Here is a 13,830-nt window from a genome sequence, read left to right on the forward strand (position 1 = left end):
GAGAGAGCTGGGGCAAAAAACTGTCCTGGTTCCTAACCTCTTGAGGCTCTCTTGAGAAATCCAGGAGAGACAAGGGGTGGTTTTGAAGCAGGGTGCTAGAGAGGGAAGACTTTCCAGACTTAAAGTAGCCCCTGCCAGTGTCTCCTGAAAGACCTTTGGCTCCAGGTACCCTCACAGGTCTAATCTTTTTGTGGTTTTTGCATCCCTCTTGTCTTCTGAATAACTTCAAGTCACTTGTCAAGTTCTCCTGCCCTTTAGTTGGAAAAAATAACCCCACAGGAATTATTAGCTGTTTGCTTTACAGTTCACAAAGTTGAATCGAGGTGTTTTAGGTGGCTCAGGCCCTGATACTTCATCATTTAAATAATTGGCCAGAGCTGCTTAGTGGTGGTAGGAGAGCAATGACCCCCTTGAGAATATTTTAGTGTTTTCTTAGGAGAAATGCCAGCTACATCTACAGGGTAGGAACAGTGCTTTCCTTGTAGGTGTTACGCTCCTAATACAACATTTTCTCTTGTACTTTATGCAGGAATTGGCTCCTTGACTTCATTTGCTTTGCCCCGGTCTGGTGGGGCTCCATCTTTGTGTCTCTCGCATCTATAAATGGGTTGGAACAGGGATTACAGGGTCACCCTATAGTTCTCCCATGGTTTAGCGGTGGGGAAACTTGCTGAAGTCACTCAGAGAACCCAACTATTTCCTCCTCTGCCTGGAACAACCATGTAGTGGTTTTACTTGGAGAGTTTTGTATGATTTGGCCTGCTAGCCTGTGATGCCAGGGGGAATAAAAAACCCTAGGCATATATTGAATCATTAAGTGCTTCTTAAGTTTATTCACTCACCAAATATTTATTGGATGCAGGGGCCCAGAAGCTGAGCATGTGGTTCTACCTGCTTGCAAGCAGCAGCCCCCACGTTTCTCTGGAGAGGCTGGTGGCGGGCAGCATTTGCACATGGTTAGTCATTGCAGTTTGGCTTTGAGTTTACACCTGAATAAAATCATTAGCACAGAAGCTTGGGCCAAAGAAAGACAGTTTTGCATTTGTTTAAAGCCTGGGCCAGTGTAGGAGGTGCGATGAGTCAAGATCTCTCTCTCTTCCTCCCTCTCTCTCCTGCCGCCCCTCTTTCTCTCATCATCTTCTTAAAGTGTGGTTGTTCTCAGTCTCAATTTCATTAACTTTGACAACTGCGTTTTCTTGTTTTATGAGCCCCCCGGGGGCTGGTAGCAAAAAAATAGGTTAAAGGAAGGCAAAGTTATCCCCTTGGGCAGCTTAGTCCCTGCAGAATTCATGATTTTCCATCCATTTCTTGGCTCTGAAGAAGCAGGCAGTGGACAGAGGCAGAAAAGGCATAGGAGGAAAACAGCCAAGCTAGCTTGGGGGTGGGAGCTCCTTCCTGTGGATGTTGAAACTTGTTGAAAACCCACGAAGGGAGGACTCTGTCCGCTGCAGGCGGGCCAGGCATTCGGAAAAGCCTGTGGGAGAAGAGGGGTGGCCTAGACACAGGCTAACCCCCTCCCCACCACCCACCCTCTTCACCTACCCGCGTACTTACAGACAATGCCACAGGGTGAAACCTTGAAATAAGAGAGGATGTCCTAAATTAAAACACGTAAATGCCTCTCCAAGAGTTCAAATAAAATTTCATTTTAAAAGCAAAAGGCATAAACTTGTCACCTCAGTTTATTACTGAGTGCTTTTGAACTTCTCAGAAAAGAACTCTATAAACTCATGAGAGAAATATGATTTATGATCCCCTCCTTCTCTTCTTTTCCATTCTGTGGGAGGAGGTACAGTCAGGATCAGCTAGGGAGGCAGCGTTGGGATGAGGGCAAGACCCCACAGGGGAGCAGCAGGCCAGGGCGCCAGGCCAGGCCCAGCCTCAGACCAGGCATGGGCGCATCTCTCCAGCTTTCTGAGCCTCTCTCCTGTACTTAATGTGGAGAGGCTGTTGTGGGTTCCTTGTTCTTCTAATATTTTGAGCTTCTGTATCATATTTAAAATCTTTCTTTGATATTCTAGTTCGGAGAGATTCTAGTTACAGCATTGAAAAACAGGCTCTGTTACCTGTGGCAGTTTAAGTCCTAAGAAGTTAAAATAGAATAAAATTGACATTTCTTAGAGTTTGCTATTAAGTAAGGGTCTTGGCCAGGCACGGTGGCTCACACTTGTAATCCCAGCACTTTGGGAGGCCGTGCCGGGCAGATCACTTGAGGCCAGGAGTTTGAAACCAGCCTGGCCAATATGGCGAAATCCCATCTCTACTAAAAATACAAAATTAGCTGGGAGTGGTGGCATGCACCTGTAGTTCCATCTGCTTGGGAGTCTGAGGCAGGAGAATTGCTGGAGGTGGAGGTTGGAGTGTGCTGTGATCGCACCACTGTACTCTAGGCTGGGCGACAGAGGAAGACCCTGTCTCCAGTCAATCAATCAGTCAATCAGTCAATCAATGTAAGGGTCTTAAACCATCCCCAAAGCAAAGGAGTCTATGTTTATGTCCCGGGCATCTTAACCCTCCAATTCAATCAGTGTTTATTAAGCATCTTATAGAGCTAAGAATTTTGAAGGTTGACTTTAATAGCTTTACCTGTGGAGAGTCTCATGGCAGGGAACATGAGAGGTGCTGGCGTTTCTAGCAAAGCCTGGTTGGCCCTGATTCTGTAACTCAAGGCAGAATAAATGCCCCATAACCACCACCCCATGTTAGAGAAGATTCTTAGGGAGAGGTTTGGAAAACAGCATGGGCCAGGCGTGGTGGCTCACGCCTGTAATCCTAGTACTGTGGGAGGCTGAGGCGCGCCGATTGCATGAGCTCAGGGATTTGAGACCAGCCTGGGCAACATGGCAAAACACCATCTCTACAAAAAACACAAAAATTAGCCAGTCATGGTGGTGCATGCCTGTGGTTTCAGCTACTCGGGAGGCTGAGGTGGGAGGATTGCTTGAGCCCAGGAGGTCAAGGCTGCAGCGAGCTGAGATTGTGCCACTGCCCTCCAGCCTGGCCAACAGAGAGACCCTCTCTCAAAAAAAAAAAAAAAAAAAAAAAAAAAAAAAAGAAGAACAGTATGGTCAATAGGCATGGCCTTAGCTCTCTCCAAGGCTTAATAGTACAATGTGGGGAAATTGAGAAAAAGATAAGAAAGGGAGTTTCATGTCACAGAGACCCAGCCTTGGCTGACTGACCTCAGAAAGGGTACTTCATTCAGTTCTCGGTGCATTCTCCTCTGTGCAGCAGGGCTAATGCTGCCTGTGTCATTGTAGTGGGGGCTCTGTGAGATATTTGTAGAGCACTTAGCTCAGAGCCTGGCTTATGGGAAATGTTGGATGACCATGTAGAAGTCAGCCATCACATGTTGGGTGCTCGCCGAGTGCTGAGAGCTTTACCTATAGCGTCTCCTTTAATTAATGCTAATTTGACATCCTATCCAGATTCCCATTTTACCATAAGCAAATCGAGTCCTAGAGAGTTCTCTACATAACCTGAAATTGAACAGCTTACAAGAGCCAAGATCTGAAATAAGACCCTTCTGCTTCATCAATGTTGGTTTCTTCTCTTTGCCTCCTTTTGTCTTCGCCAGTTTTTCTAGATAAAAATCAGATGCTCACCTGGGCACGGTGGCTCACACCTATAATCTCAACACTTTGAGAGGCTGAGTCAGGAGAGCTGCTTGAGGCCAGAAGTTCAAGACCAGTTTGGGCAACATAGTGAGACCTCCTGTCCACAAAAGAATAAAAAAAAAAAAATAATAAGCTGGGCATGGTGGCACGAGCCTGTAGTACTAGCTACTCGGGAGGCTGAGGCAAGAGGATGGCTTGAGCCAAAGAGTTCGAGCCTACAGTGAGCCATGATCATGCCACTGCTCTCTAGCCTGGGATATAGAGTGAGACCCTATCTCTCTCCCTCTTCCCCCCAACCCCCCGCCCCGGCCCCGCACACCACCCCCCACCCCCCGGAAAAACGAAAAAGAAATCAGATGCCTTTTAGTAGTCAAAGGCTTGGTTAAAACTGTTAGTTCCACATAATAGAAACTCAGCCTGAGCTCTGTTGAGCAGAAAGAGGAATTTGCTCTGAGGATTCTGGGCTATGTCACAGAACCCATGACAGGGGTGCTGATGCCCTTCCACAGCACCTGACTCCAGGGCTTGGATGCCAGCGGCCCCCTCCTCAACTCTTCTCCATCCACGCATCTGCTTTATTCTCTCACTCCCCATTTGGTAGGAGACGCAGCCCCCCAGTCTCCCTGGGCATGAACTCTCTGGGTTTTGAGTCTGAAAAATTCCAGAAAAGGGATTCATTGGCCCATCTTGGATCAGGGGCTCACACTTAGGCTAGTCAGCTGTACCCTGGGGGCTGTCCTGCCATAGGTGGGGAGCAAGGGGAAGATGTGTTCTCCAGAAGAGAGCTGGTGGGGGGCAGTGCTGGGCTGTCATCCTCATAGCAGGCCCCTGCAGTCACTAAATCATATATGTGATCATGAGCTTGTGGGTGATGTCCTCAGTCTATCCTGAGTCATTCAGAGAAGGTTCAGCTGGAAGAAACTCATGGTCTATGTGTACTACATAGAATCAAATCCTCTTCTTCCCCTGAACACAGAGAGTGATTGTGGTGAGTGAAAAGTGAGTCCACGTGGACTGGAGGAGTTGGGCAGGTTTTACAGAGTGGGGGTTGTGTAAGACAGACGTACGAGGAGACAGGATGAGGTAGGAAAAGAATCTCCAGAACAGGGCAGAAGAAAAGGGAGCAAGATGTTCTTCAAGGAGCATTGAAAGTTGCTGCTGAAGGAAGAGGCTCTCAAGTGAAAGAGTTTGGTCTTCATTCTCTAAAGAGCTGGGAGCCACTGAAGGCTTCTGACAAAAGAGCAGGTGTTGTAGAATCTGTATTCTGGGAATGTTCACTTGGCAGTGGCATCTATTCTGGTTGGAGAGAGATCAAGTTACCCTGCCACTAGATGTTTTGAGGAACCCAGTGGAACCAGGCATCTGTTATTTTAAATGCTTTAGTGGGGCTCAAGCCCGGAAATTACTGAGGGCTCTTCATGTTTGCCATCTCTCCTTTCTGTTTGCACATTTAAGCAAATGTGAAATGTAGGAGCAACATGTCCAACAGCATGGGAAGGTGGAAAACTATGTTGAAAGGGAGGAGAGCTGGTTTTTAATCCTGGCTCTTCTGATAAGCAGCGGGGAAACCAAGGTACGAGAGGTGGGTGGAAAATTGAACCATATGGTCAGCCCACTAACCCACGTCCAGCCCTCAGTGTCTTGGGAACTTCTTTGCAAAGCACAAATACAGACTCTGGTAACCAAAATGACCAGAAGACAGAGAACCGAGTCAAAGGAACCTTGACTTTTCAAAGTGATTGGGAGAGGGGGAGCATGTAAGGGTTAAGACTTGGGTTTAGTCATCATACTAACACAGGTTTCAACCCCAGTTCTAACCCTTTTCTGAGACAGGGTCTTGCTCTGTTGCCCAGGCTGGAGTGCAGTGGCACAATCATGGCTCACTTCAGCCTCAAACTCCCGGGCTCAAGTAATCCTCCCACTTCAGCCTCCCAAGTAGCTGGGACTACAGGTGTGTGCCACCACACCTAGCTAGTTTTTAATTTTTTTGTAGAGACAGAGTCTCAATATATTACCCAGGCAACAGGCTCCTAGACTCAAGCGATCCTCCTGCCTCCCAAAGTGCTGGGATTACAGGCGTGAGCCACCGCACTCAGCCCCAAGCCTTCTAAGCTCTGTGAGCTCCTGCAGTCACTTAACGCGTCTGTGTGTTTAGATGGGAATAGCCCCTAAAGGAGATAATGTATATCAAGTGTTGATCACATTCCTGGCACAACCAAAAGCACTAAACCAGGTGTTGACTCTTATTGTCCATCTTCTCTTCCTTTCTCTCTCCCTCCTTTATTGTCCTTCAGTTCCTTTCTTTTTTTTTTTTTTTTTTTTTTTTTTTGAGATGGAATTTCACTCTTGTTGCCCAGGCTGGAGTGCAATAGTGTGATCTTGGCTCACTGCAACCTCCGCCTCCCGGGTTCAAGTGATTGTCCTGCCTCAGCCTCCTGAGTAGCTGGGATTACAGGCATGCACCACCACGCCTGGATAATTTATTTTATATTTTTTATTTTTAGTAGAGACGGGGTTTCTCCATGGTGGTCGGGCTGGTCTCAAACTCAGGTGATCCACCCACCTCAGCCTCCCAAAGTGCTGGGATTACAGGCATGAGCCACCGCTCCCGGCTCCTTCGTTCCTTTTATCACTCAAAGTGGTATTACTTAAGGAGTCAAATCCGTAGAGACAGAAAGTAGAATGGTGGTTGCTGGGGTGGGGTATGGGGCAAGGGGAGTTGTTTAATGGGTATGAAGCTTCCATTTGAGAAGATGAAAAAGTACTGGAGATGAGTGGTGGTCATGGTTGGATGACAGCGTGAATATGCTTAATGCCACTGAACTGTGCACTTAAAAATGATTACAGTGGCAAATTTCATGTTATGTATATTTTACCACAGTTAAAAAAACAATGGTATTACTTAAATCATTTCATAATATATGGAAGTTGAGAGCAGTGGGTATAAAAAAAATAAGCAATTTTTTCCTTAAGCGATGGAGCATAGTTGCTCCAGGAAAGAAGTGGGTGACTGATGTTACTGAATCCTGGGGCAAAGCAAACCCGCATCCCATAGAATGTTATTCCCAAGGAGTGTTCTGGACAATCTAGGTACAATGAGGACAGAGACCAAACCCTTCTTTGTGCATCAGGATGCCCTGGGGAAATTTTCTACTTACTTTTGAAGAACAACTCCCAAAATAGAGAATTTCGGGGAAGGGAAGACAGACTTATTTGTTATCCTCTCTTCATGACAAAGTGGATGGAGGATAGGAAAATCAAACTAATTGAAATCCAAGGCTGGGCGGGGTGGCTCACGCCTGTAATCCCAGCACTTTGGGAGGCTGAGGCGGGTGGATCACGAGGTCAGGAGAGCCAGACCATCCTGGCTAACACGGTGAAACCCCATCTCTACTAAAAATACAAAAAAATTAGCCTGGTGTGGTGGCGGGCGCCTGTAATCCCAGCTACTCAGGAGGCTGAGGCAGGAGAATGGCGTGAGCCCAGGAGCTTGCAGTGAGCCGAGATCACGCTACTGCACTCCAAACTGGGCGACAGAGCGAGAATCCATCTCAAAAAAAAAAGAAGAAATCCAAAGATGTTTGAATTTCTTCACTAAATATTAGCCAGAACCTGATATGTACCACAGTGATGGAGTGTGGTTGGTACTTAAAGGAAAAAGAACTCAGGAAGAATCCAGGAAGGGGGCAGTCACCTTATGATGATGAATGGGTTTTGCCAAACCTCTCAGAATTTGGGCTTTTGTTTTCTGACCATTGTCTCACTGAGTTCTCTGATGAAAGTCAAAGCTCGTAAAATTACAGTGTAGGTGTTAATCTAGCACAGCAGTTCTCAAAGTGTGGCTGGGGGCTGGTAGGGATTCTCAAGGTCTTTTCTAGGAGCACCCACAGGATCAAAACTGCCTTTTTTTTTTTTTTCCAAGACAGGATCTCACTCTGTCACCCAGGCTAGAGTGCAGTGACACTATCTTGGCTCACTGCAACCTCTGTGCCCCAGGCTCAGGTGATCCTCCCACCTCAGCCACCCGAGTAACTGTGACTATAGGCACATGCCATGATGCCCAGCTAATTTTTCTATTTTTAATAGAGATGTGGTTTTGCCATGTTGCCCAGGCTGGTCTTGAACTCCAGGGCTCAAGCAATCCACCTTCCTTGGCCTCCCAAAGTGCTGGGATTACAGGCGTGAGCCACTGTGCCTGGCCAAAACTGTTTTCATGTAATATTATTTTGAAATTATTTTTATTTTTTCGAGGCAGGGTCTTACTATGTTGCCCAGGCTGGTCTCAAACTCCTGGCTTCAAGCCATCCTCCTTCCTTAGCCTCCCAAAGTGCTGGGATTATAGGCATCAGCCACTGTTCCCAGCCTGTTTTCATGGTAATATTGAAGTGACATTTGCCCTTTTCACTCTTATTCTCTCACAAATGTATGGTGAGGTTTTCCAGGGACATCATTGTGTGTAGTGACTTCATCACTCTGACAACTAATGGAATGTGTGCTTGCATATTCTGTGTTTTAAAGATTTCTCAGATTATAATTCCTAATTTGGTAAATATCAATAGATATAACCAAATCAGAAGTTCTTGGGGTTCTTAATCATTTTTGAGAATGTGAAGGAGGTCTGTAATCTGAGTTCATTGAGCTGGCATTATGGCCCCACTGTAAAGATCATCTCAGAGAGCTTAGCTGGGTTAGAGAAACCCTTCTATAAAATCAGTGGAAATGAACAGAAACTAGAGGACAATACAGGGAGTAAAGGTGAACTATTCTGTTCTGCAGTACTGGGGCCAAAAGAATGTTGGTTCTGAAGTGTTAGTAATTTGAGTAAAACCAATGGGTTGCAGTTTTCCACATTTAATAACAAACAACCAGACAGTGAATTTGAAGAACCTCAGCGAAGAAGATCTGAATATCTTTGCTGCTTGCATTGGGATATAACCTTCAACCTTGACGTAGAACAGGGCTTACCTGGATGGGTCTTTACTTGAGACAGGAACTTGGGTAAAGCTACAGAGTTTTTTATAAGCCATGTAGATATTGTGGGGATGAGGGGCCTTATCCTTCCGCATGCCATCCTCATTGGGGTTTTGATCACAGATCTGTATTTCCTGGGATACCTGAGTGCCCTCGGCTTTAACCCAAGTTCAGCTTAGCACTCCTGAGTGGTGAGATTCTCAACTTAAGAGGGACGGTTGGGCCGGAATCCTTGGGTCTGATTTGCTGTGGGAAGGGGAGGAGGCTAACTGTCCCATGGACCTGGTCACAGCTGTTCCACATCATAGGTCTTGGCCTCACCAGGCCTTCTCTGGTCAGTGAAACAAGTAGGTATTTGTCATGTACCTGAGCACGGGGCATACTGACTATTGCTTATTGCCATGGCATCCCTGGAAGCACGCTGCAACTATTTGGGACTGACGGTATCGTACCTTCCCTGGTCCTCTTATCACATTGTTTCCAAACGGGGGCAATTTTCACCCCAGGGGATACTTGGCAATGTCTGGAAACATTTTTGGTCTTCAAAAATGTCAGGGTTGGGGGGTGGGAGTGGGGGTGCTTACTGGTATCTAGTGGAGTTCCCCTTCCTCCTTCATTCCTTTCTCTGCCCCATTGCCTGCCATGAACAACAGGTTCCTGGTAGCCTTTGTGCTATGGTTCTGTTGGGAATTGGTGCTCTGGCACATTCCTCTCTCCATCTGAGGAGTGTGAAGAGCCTAGATCTTAAAGCTGAACAGCTGAGGTGCAAGTGATCGTTCTGTTCAGTAACAGCTGGGTTACTTTGGGCTGTTTAACCTCTCTGCCTCCGTTTCTCCATACCGCCTCTGTAAAGTGAATTCTGATAATTAAAAAAAGAATAAAGTGGCTGGGTACAGTGGCTCACACCTATAATCCCAGCACTTTGGGAGGCGAGAGGATAACTTGAAGTCAGGAGTTCCAGACCAGCCTGGGCAACAAGCGAGAACTCATTTCAACAAAAAAACAAAAAAATAGCTGGGCATGGTGGCACACACTGTAGTCTCAGCTACTCAGAAGGTTAACATGGGAGGATCATTTGAGCCCAGGAGTTCAAGGCTGTAGTGAGCTATAATCACACAACTGAGAGTGAGACCCTGGCTCTTTAAAAAAAAAAAAAAAAAAAAAAAAGTATGACCCAGGCACGGTGGCTCACGCCTGTAATCCTAGCACTTTGGGAGGCTGAGGCGAGCGGATCACCTGAGGTCAGGAGTCCGAGACAGCCTGGCCAACATGGTGAAATCTCGTCTCTAGTAAAAATACATAAATTAGCCGGGCATGGTGGCGGGCACCTGTAATCCCAGCTACTCGGGAGGCTGAGGCAGGAGAATCGCTGGAATCAGAGAGGCAAAGGTTGCAGTGAGCCAAGATCGCACCACTGCATTCCAGCCTGGGCGACAGAGCGAGACTCCGTCAAAAAAAAAAAAGTATGTAAAGTTCTTGGAATATGTGAATACTCAACAAATATCACTATCAATTTCTAAACATACTGCTACCAAGCAGATGGAAGTCCCTTTTCTAAGGTGAGCAAGATGGGTTTCTTGTTGAGGAGGAAGTTTGGAAAGCTCTTCATATTTATTTTAAGGAGCACTTGGGTAGCTATCTCCTACATTTGATTAAAACCGGATGCAAGCAAGAAACTTAGTAAAGGAAATCAGATCAGAAAGAAAAGATTGGCATGATGTAAGTGGAAAAACTCAGGGAATACAAGTTTTCTTCTAAGGTCATATGTATGATTTGAAAGTCACAAAATTTTAATTTGATGCTTTTCATCTACACCACCTAAATCTTCCATGAACCTCTTGGTTAAAAGGCTATATTAAGCACAATACTTTTAAAAAACTAGATCAGAGACATTTTTAGCTATAAAAGGCTAACTGAAACCATTATTTGAGATCCACTGGGAGGCTTAAGAGAGTTTTGAAGATAGAGTGAGTTAACAGAACAAATAATGTGTCTGTCAAGCCAAGGAGCACAGGCGGCTGGCCACCTCCCAGGACTGGGGGAAGCCTAGCTCTAGACACTCCTCCCTGCCACTGTCCCCATCCATTGAACCAGGCTCTTGATGCAACAAGGGTCACAAATGAGGCTAAATCAGAGAACTAGAGATGGTATGACTGGCCAGCTGAAAAGCCCATCAAAAATAGCTACTGAAGCCGGGTGCGGTGGCTCATGCCTGTAATCCCAACACTTTGAGAGGCAGAGGTGGGCGGATCACTTGAGGTCAGGAGTTTGAAACCAGCCTGGCCAACATGGTGAAACCTCATCTCTAATAAAAATACAAAAAAAAAAAAAAAAAAAAATTAGCCAGGCATGGTGGTGGGTGCCTGTAATCCCAGCTACTCAGAAGGCTGAGGCAGGAGAATTGCTTGAACCTGGGAGGTGGGGGTTGCAGTGAGCCAAGATGGTGCCACTGCACTTCAGCCTGGGCGACAGAACAAGACTCTGTCTCCAAAAAAAAAGCTATTGAAAAAAAATTAGCTGGGCATGGTTAGCTACTTGGGAGGCTGAGGTGGGAGGATCACTTGAGGCTGCAATGAGCTATGATTGTGCCACTGTACTCTAGTCTGGGTGATAGAGCGAGACCCCTGACTCTCAAAGAAAGCTACTGAACTTGTCTACCTTTGAGAGGCCATTTTGAAGGATAGAGGAAGTACCAGTATCGGGTCAGTTGGCCAGAATCTCTCATTCCTGGAGACAAGCCCAAAAGTCCCATCTGCTTTTTGTTCTCAAATAGAGAGGCCTCATATACATCTGGCCATGCACATACGTTATGCCAGCCACAACAGTGGGCAGTCACTCGAGTGCGTTGCAGGTTGCTGGGGCTACCATGACAGTGACTGCACATGATTGGTTTTCTGTCTACGAAGCTCCCAGAAAACCTGGACATTTCTGGAGTTCCCCCTCCCTTTCAGTGTACTTGTATAGCACCTGTGCAGGAGAGCACCACACCCCTAACCTCGGTGACATAAATTCTCACTGAATGTAGAGACAGAAGGAAAGGGGACGGCAGAGAAAGCTTGTCTGTGAGCCTTGGTCACAAGACCTCAGACTGCAGAGACATGCAATTACTTTTCTTCTGTCCTTTGTGTTTCCAAAAGCACCATATTTTATTTGATAAAAGGTACAGGGGACCATTCTGCTTTTGTGATGTTGTTTTCCAAATCAAGCATCAGGCTCTCTGGTCTGAGTAATGCTTTTTGTGCTGAGTATTAAGTTTGAGACAGTCTAAACAATTCCTTTGGGGGTACTGAAATACTTTAAATTTTGCATCATTTTTGCTAGTTATAAAAATAATAAAAGAGTTTCAACACATTCCATTTGTTCTAAGCACTGTTGGATTAAATAAAATTCTGGTCAGCCTGAAGAACGTGGGCTATTTCTTGTGCTATATATAAAGGTATGTGGTCTTTACTATTTCACATTAACCTGTTGCTAGAGGTTTTCACAAATGTATCAATTCACAAAAGAACCTCAGAGAAAAGAATGTGAAATATGCTAGGAATTTTTGTTAACCTTGGCTTGATTTTTAGAAGTTAAATTTTAAAATGTTTTAGCTTTAGAAGGTTCTTTTTTCATTTCTTAGTAAACATAGTCATTTTCTTGGTGTTTTCTAATTTTTTAAGTTTTAATTGATGAAATCTTAACATCTTTTAGAACCTAACTGTAAAGGTGTAGTTACAATTTACAATTTATAGCATCAACTTAATCTTACTATTTCAGTTACTGTATTATTCCATTTGCATTACTCTAAGGAATACCTGAGACTGGGAAATTTATAAAGAAAGAGGTTGAATTGACTTATGGTTCTGCAAGGTGTACAGGAAGTGTGTTGCCAGCATCTGGTTCTAGTGAGGGCCTCAGGAAGCTTACAATCACCACAGAAGGCAAAGGGGGAGCTGGTGTATCACACGGCGAGAGTGGGAATGAGATGGGGGTGGGATGCTTCTAGGCTGGGGTGCAGTGATGCAACCATGGCTTACTGCAGCTTCAACCTCCCGGGATCAGGCGATCCTCCCACCTCAGCCTCCTGAGTAGCTGGGACTATAGGCACGCCCACCACACCCAGCTCATTTTTAGATTATTTTTTGTAGAGAGAAGGTCTTGTTCTGTTGCCCAGGTTGGTCACCAACTCCTGGCCTCATGATCCTCCTGCCTTGGCCTCCCAAAGCTTTGCCTTTTTTTTTTTTTTTTTTTTTTTTTTTGAGATGGAGTCTCAGTCTGTTGCCCAGGCTGGAGTGCAGTGGCGCGATTTCAGCTCACTGCAAGCTCCGCCTCCTGGGTTCACACCATTCTCCTGCCTCAGCCTCCCGAGTAGCTGGGACTACAGATGCCTGCCACCACACCCGGCTAATTTTTTTGTATTTTTAGTAGAGACAGGGTTTCACCATGTTAACCAGGATGGAGCTTTACCTATTTTTTTAATTGGCGAATTTTTCCTTTTATTATTGAGTTTATTGAGTTATGAGAGTTCTTTACTCTAGACATAAGTCCCTTATTAGATACATTATTTGTAAGTATTTTCTCCCATTCTGTGGGATATCTTTTCACTTTCTTGATGATAACCTTTGCAACCCAAGATTTTTTAAACTTTTTTTTTTTTTTTTTGAGATGGAGTCTCGCTCTGTTGCCCAGGCTGGAGTGCAGTGGCATGATCTTGGCTCACTGCAACCTCCACCTCCTGTGTTCAAGCGATTCTCCTGCCTCAGCCTTCCGAGTAGCTGGGATTATAGGCACACGCCATCACGCCCAGCTAATTTTTTTATTTTTCAGTAGAGGCGGGGTTTCGCCTTGTTGGCCAGGCTGGTCTCGAACTCCTGACCTCAAGTGATCTGCCCACCTTGGCCTCCCAAAGTGCTGGGATTACAGTGAGCCACCGCGCCCAGCCAAAAGTTTTTAATCTTGATGAAGTCTGGTTTATCTATTTTTTTCTTTGGTTGCTTGTGCTTTTTGTGTCATATCTAAGAAACCATTGGAAGGCACATTCTGTCACTGAGATTTGCCAGTTGTCCTTACTGTAGTATTTTACATGGGTCATATATTTAAGGTCCTTCTGAGATTCCTAAAAATAATTAATTCCCTTTTCTCTTCAAAAGCTTTTAAGTTAATAGAGGGTCTAGAAGTGTTCCTCTCTCTTCATCACTTGTCCTTATCCTGACCTGCCTTAAAGCATGATCCCTTGATTTTATCTGGGACATCTGAGCCA

The 13,830-nt window shown here is 45.5% G+C and overlaps 1 protein-coding gene across 2 annotated transcripts in view, besides 3 other annotated features; it reads left to right on the forward strand.

The window, feature by feature from the left end:
* Nucleotides 1-13,830, forward strand: part of ZNRF3 (zinc and ring finger 3) — a 173,917-nt gene that overhangs the window by 104,686 nt on the left and 55,401 nt on the right. The gene's annotated exons all lie outside the window — the stretch shown is intronic.
* Nucleotides 153-953: an enhancer, noted in NCBI's record as "OCT4-NANOG-H3K27ac-H3K4me1 hESC enhancer chr22:29384398-29385198 (GRCh37/hg19 assembly coordinates)". NCBI's record gives its function as "activates a minimal SCP1, AML or CMV promoter by ChIP-STARR-seq in naive H9 embryonic stem cells {active_cell/tissue: H9 hESC(naive)}" and the evidence as "EXISTENCE:reporter gene assay evidence [ECO:0000049][PMID:30033119]".
* Nucleotides 12,006-12,572: an enhancer, noted in NCBI's record as "NANOG-H3K27ac hESC enhancer chr22:29396251-29396817 (GRCh37/hg19 assembly coordinates)". NCBI's record gives its function as "activates a minimal SCP1, AML or CMV promoter by ChIP-STARR-seq in primed H9 embryonic stem cells {active_cell/tissue: H9 hESC(primed)}" and the evidence as "EXISTENCE:reporter gene assay evidence [ECO:0000049][PMID:30033119]".
* Nucleotides 12,573-13,138: an enhancer, noted in NCBI's record as "H3K27ac hESC enhancer chr22:29396818-29397383 (GRCh37/hg19 assembly coordinates)". NCBI's record gives its function as "activates a minimal SCP1, AML or CMV promoter by ChIP-STARR-seq in primed H9 embryonic stem cells {active_cell/tissue: H9 hESC(primed)}" and the evidence as "EXISTENCE:reporter gene assay evidence [ECO:0000049][PMID:30033119]".

Source organism: Homo sapiens, chromosome 22 (assembly GCF_000001405.40).
Source record: "Homo sapiens chromosome 22, GRCh38.p14 Primary Assembly".
Classification (NCBI taxonomy): Eukaryota; Metazoa; Chordata; class Mammalia; order Primates; family Hominidae; genus Homo; species Homo sapiens.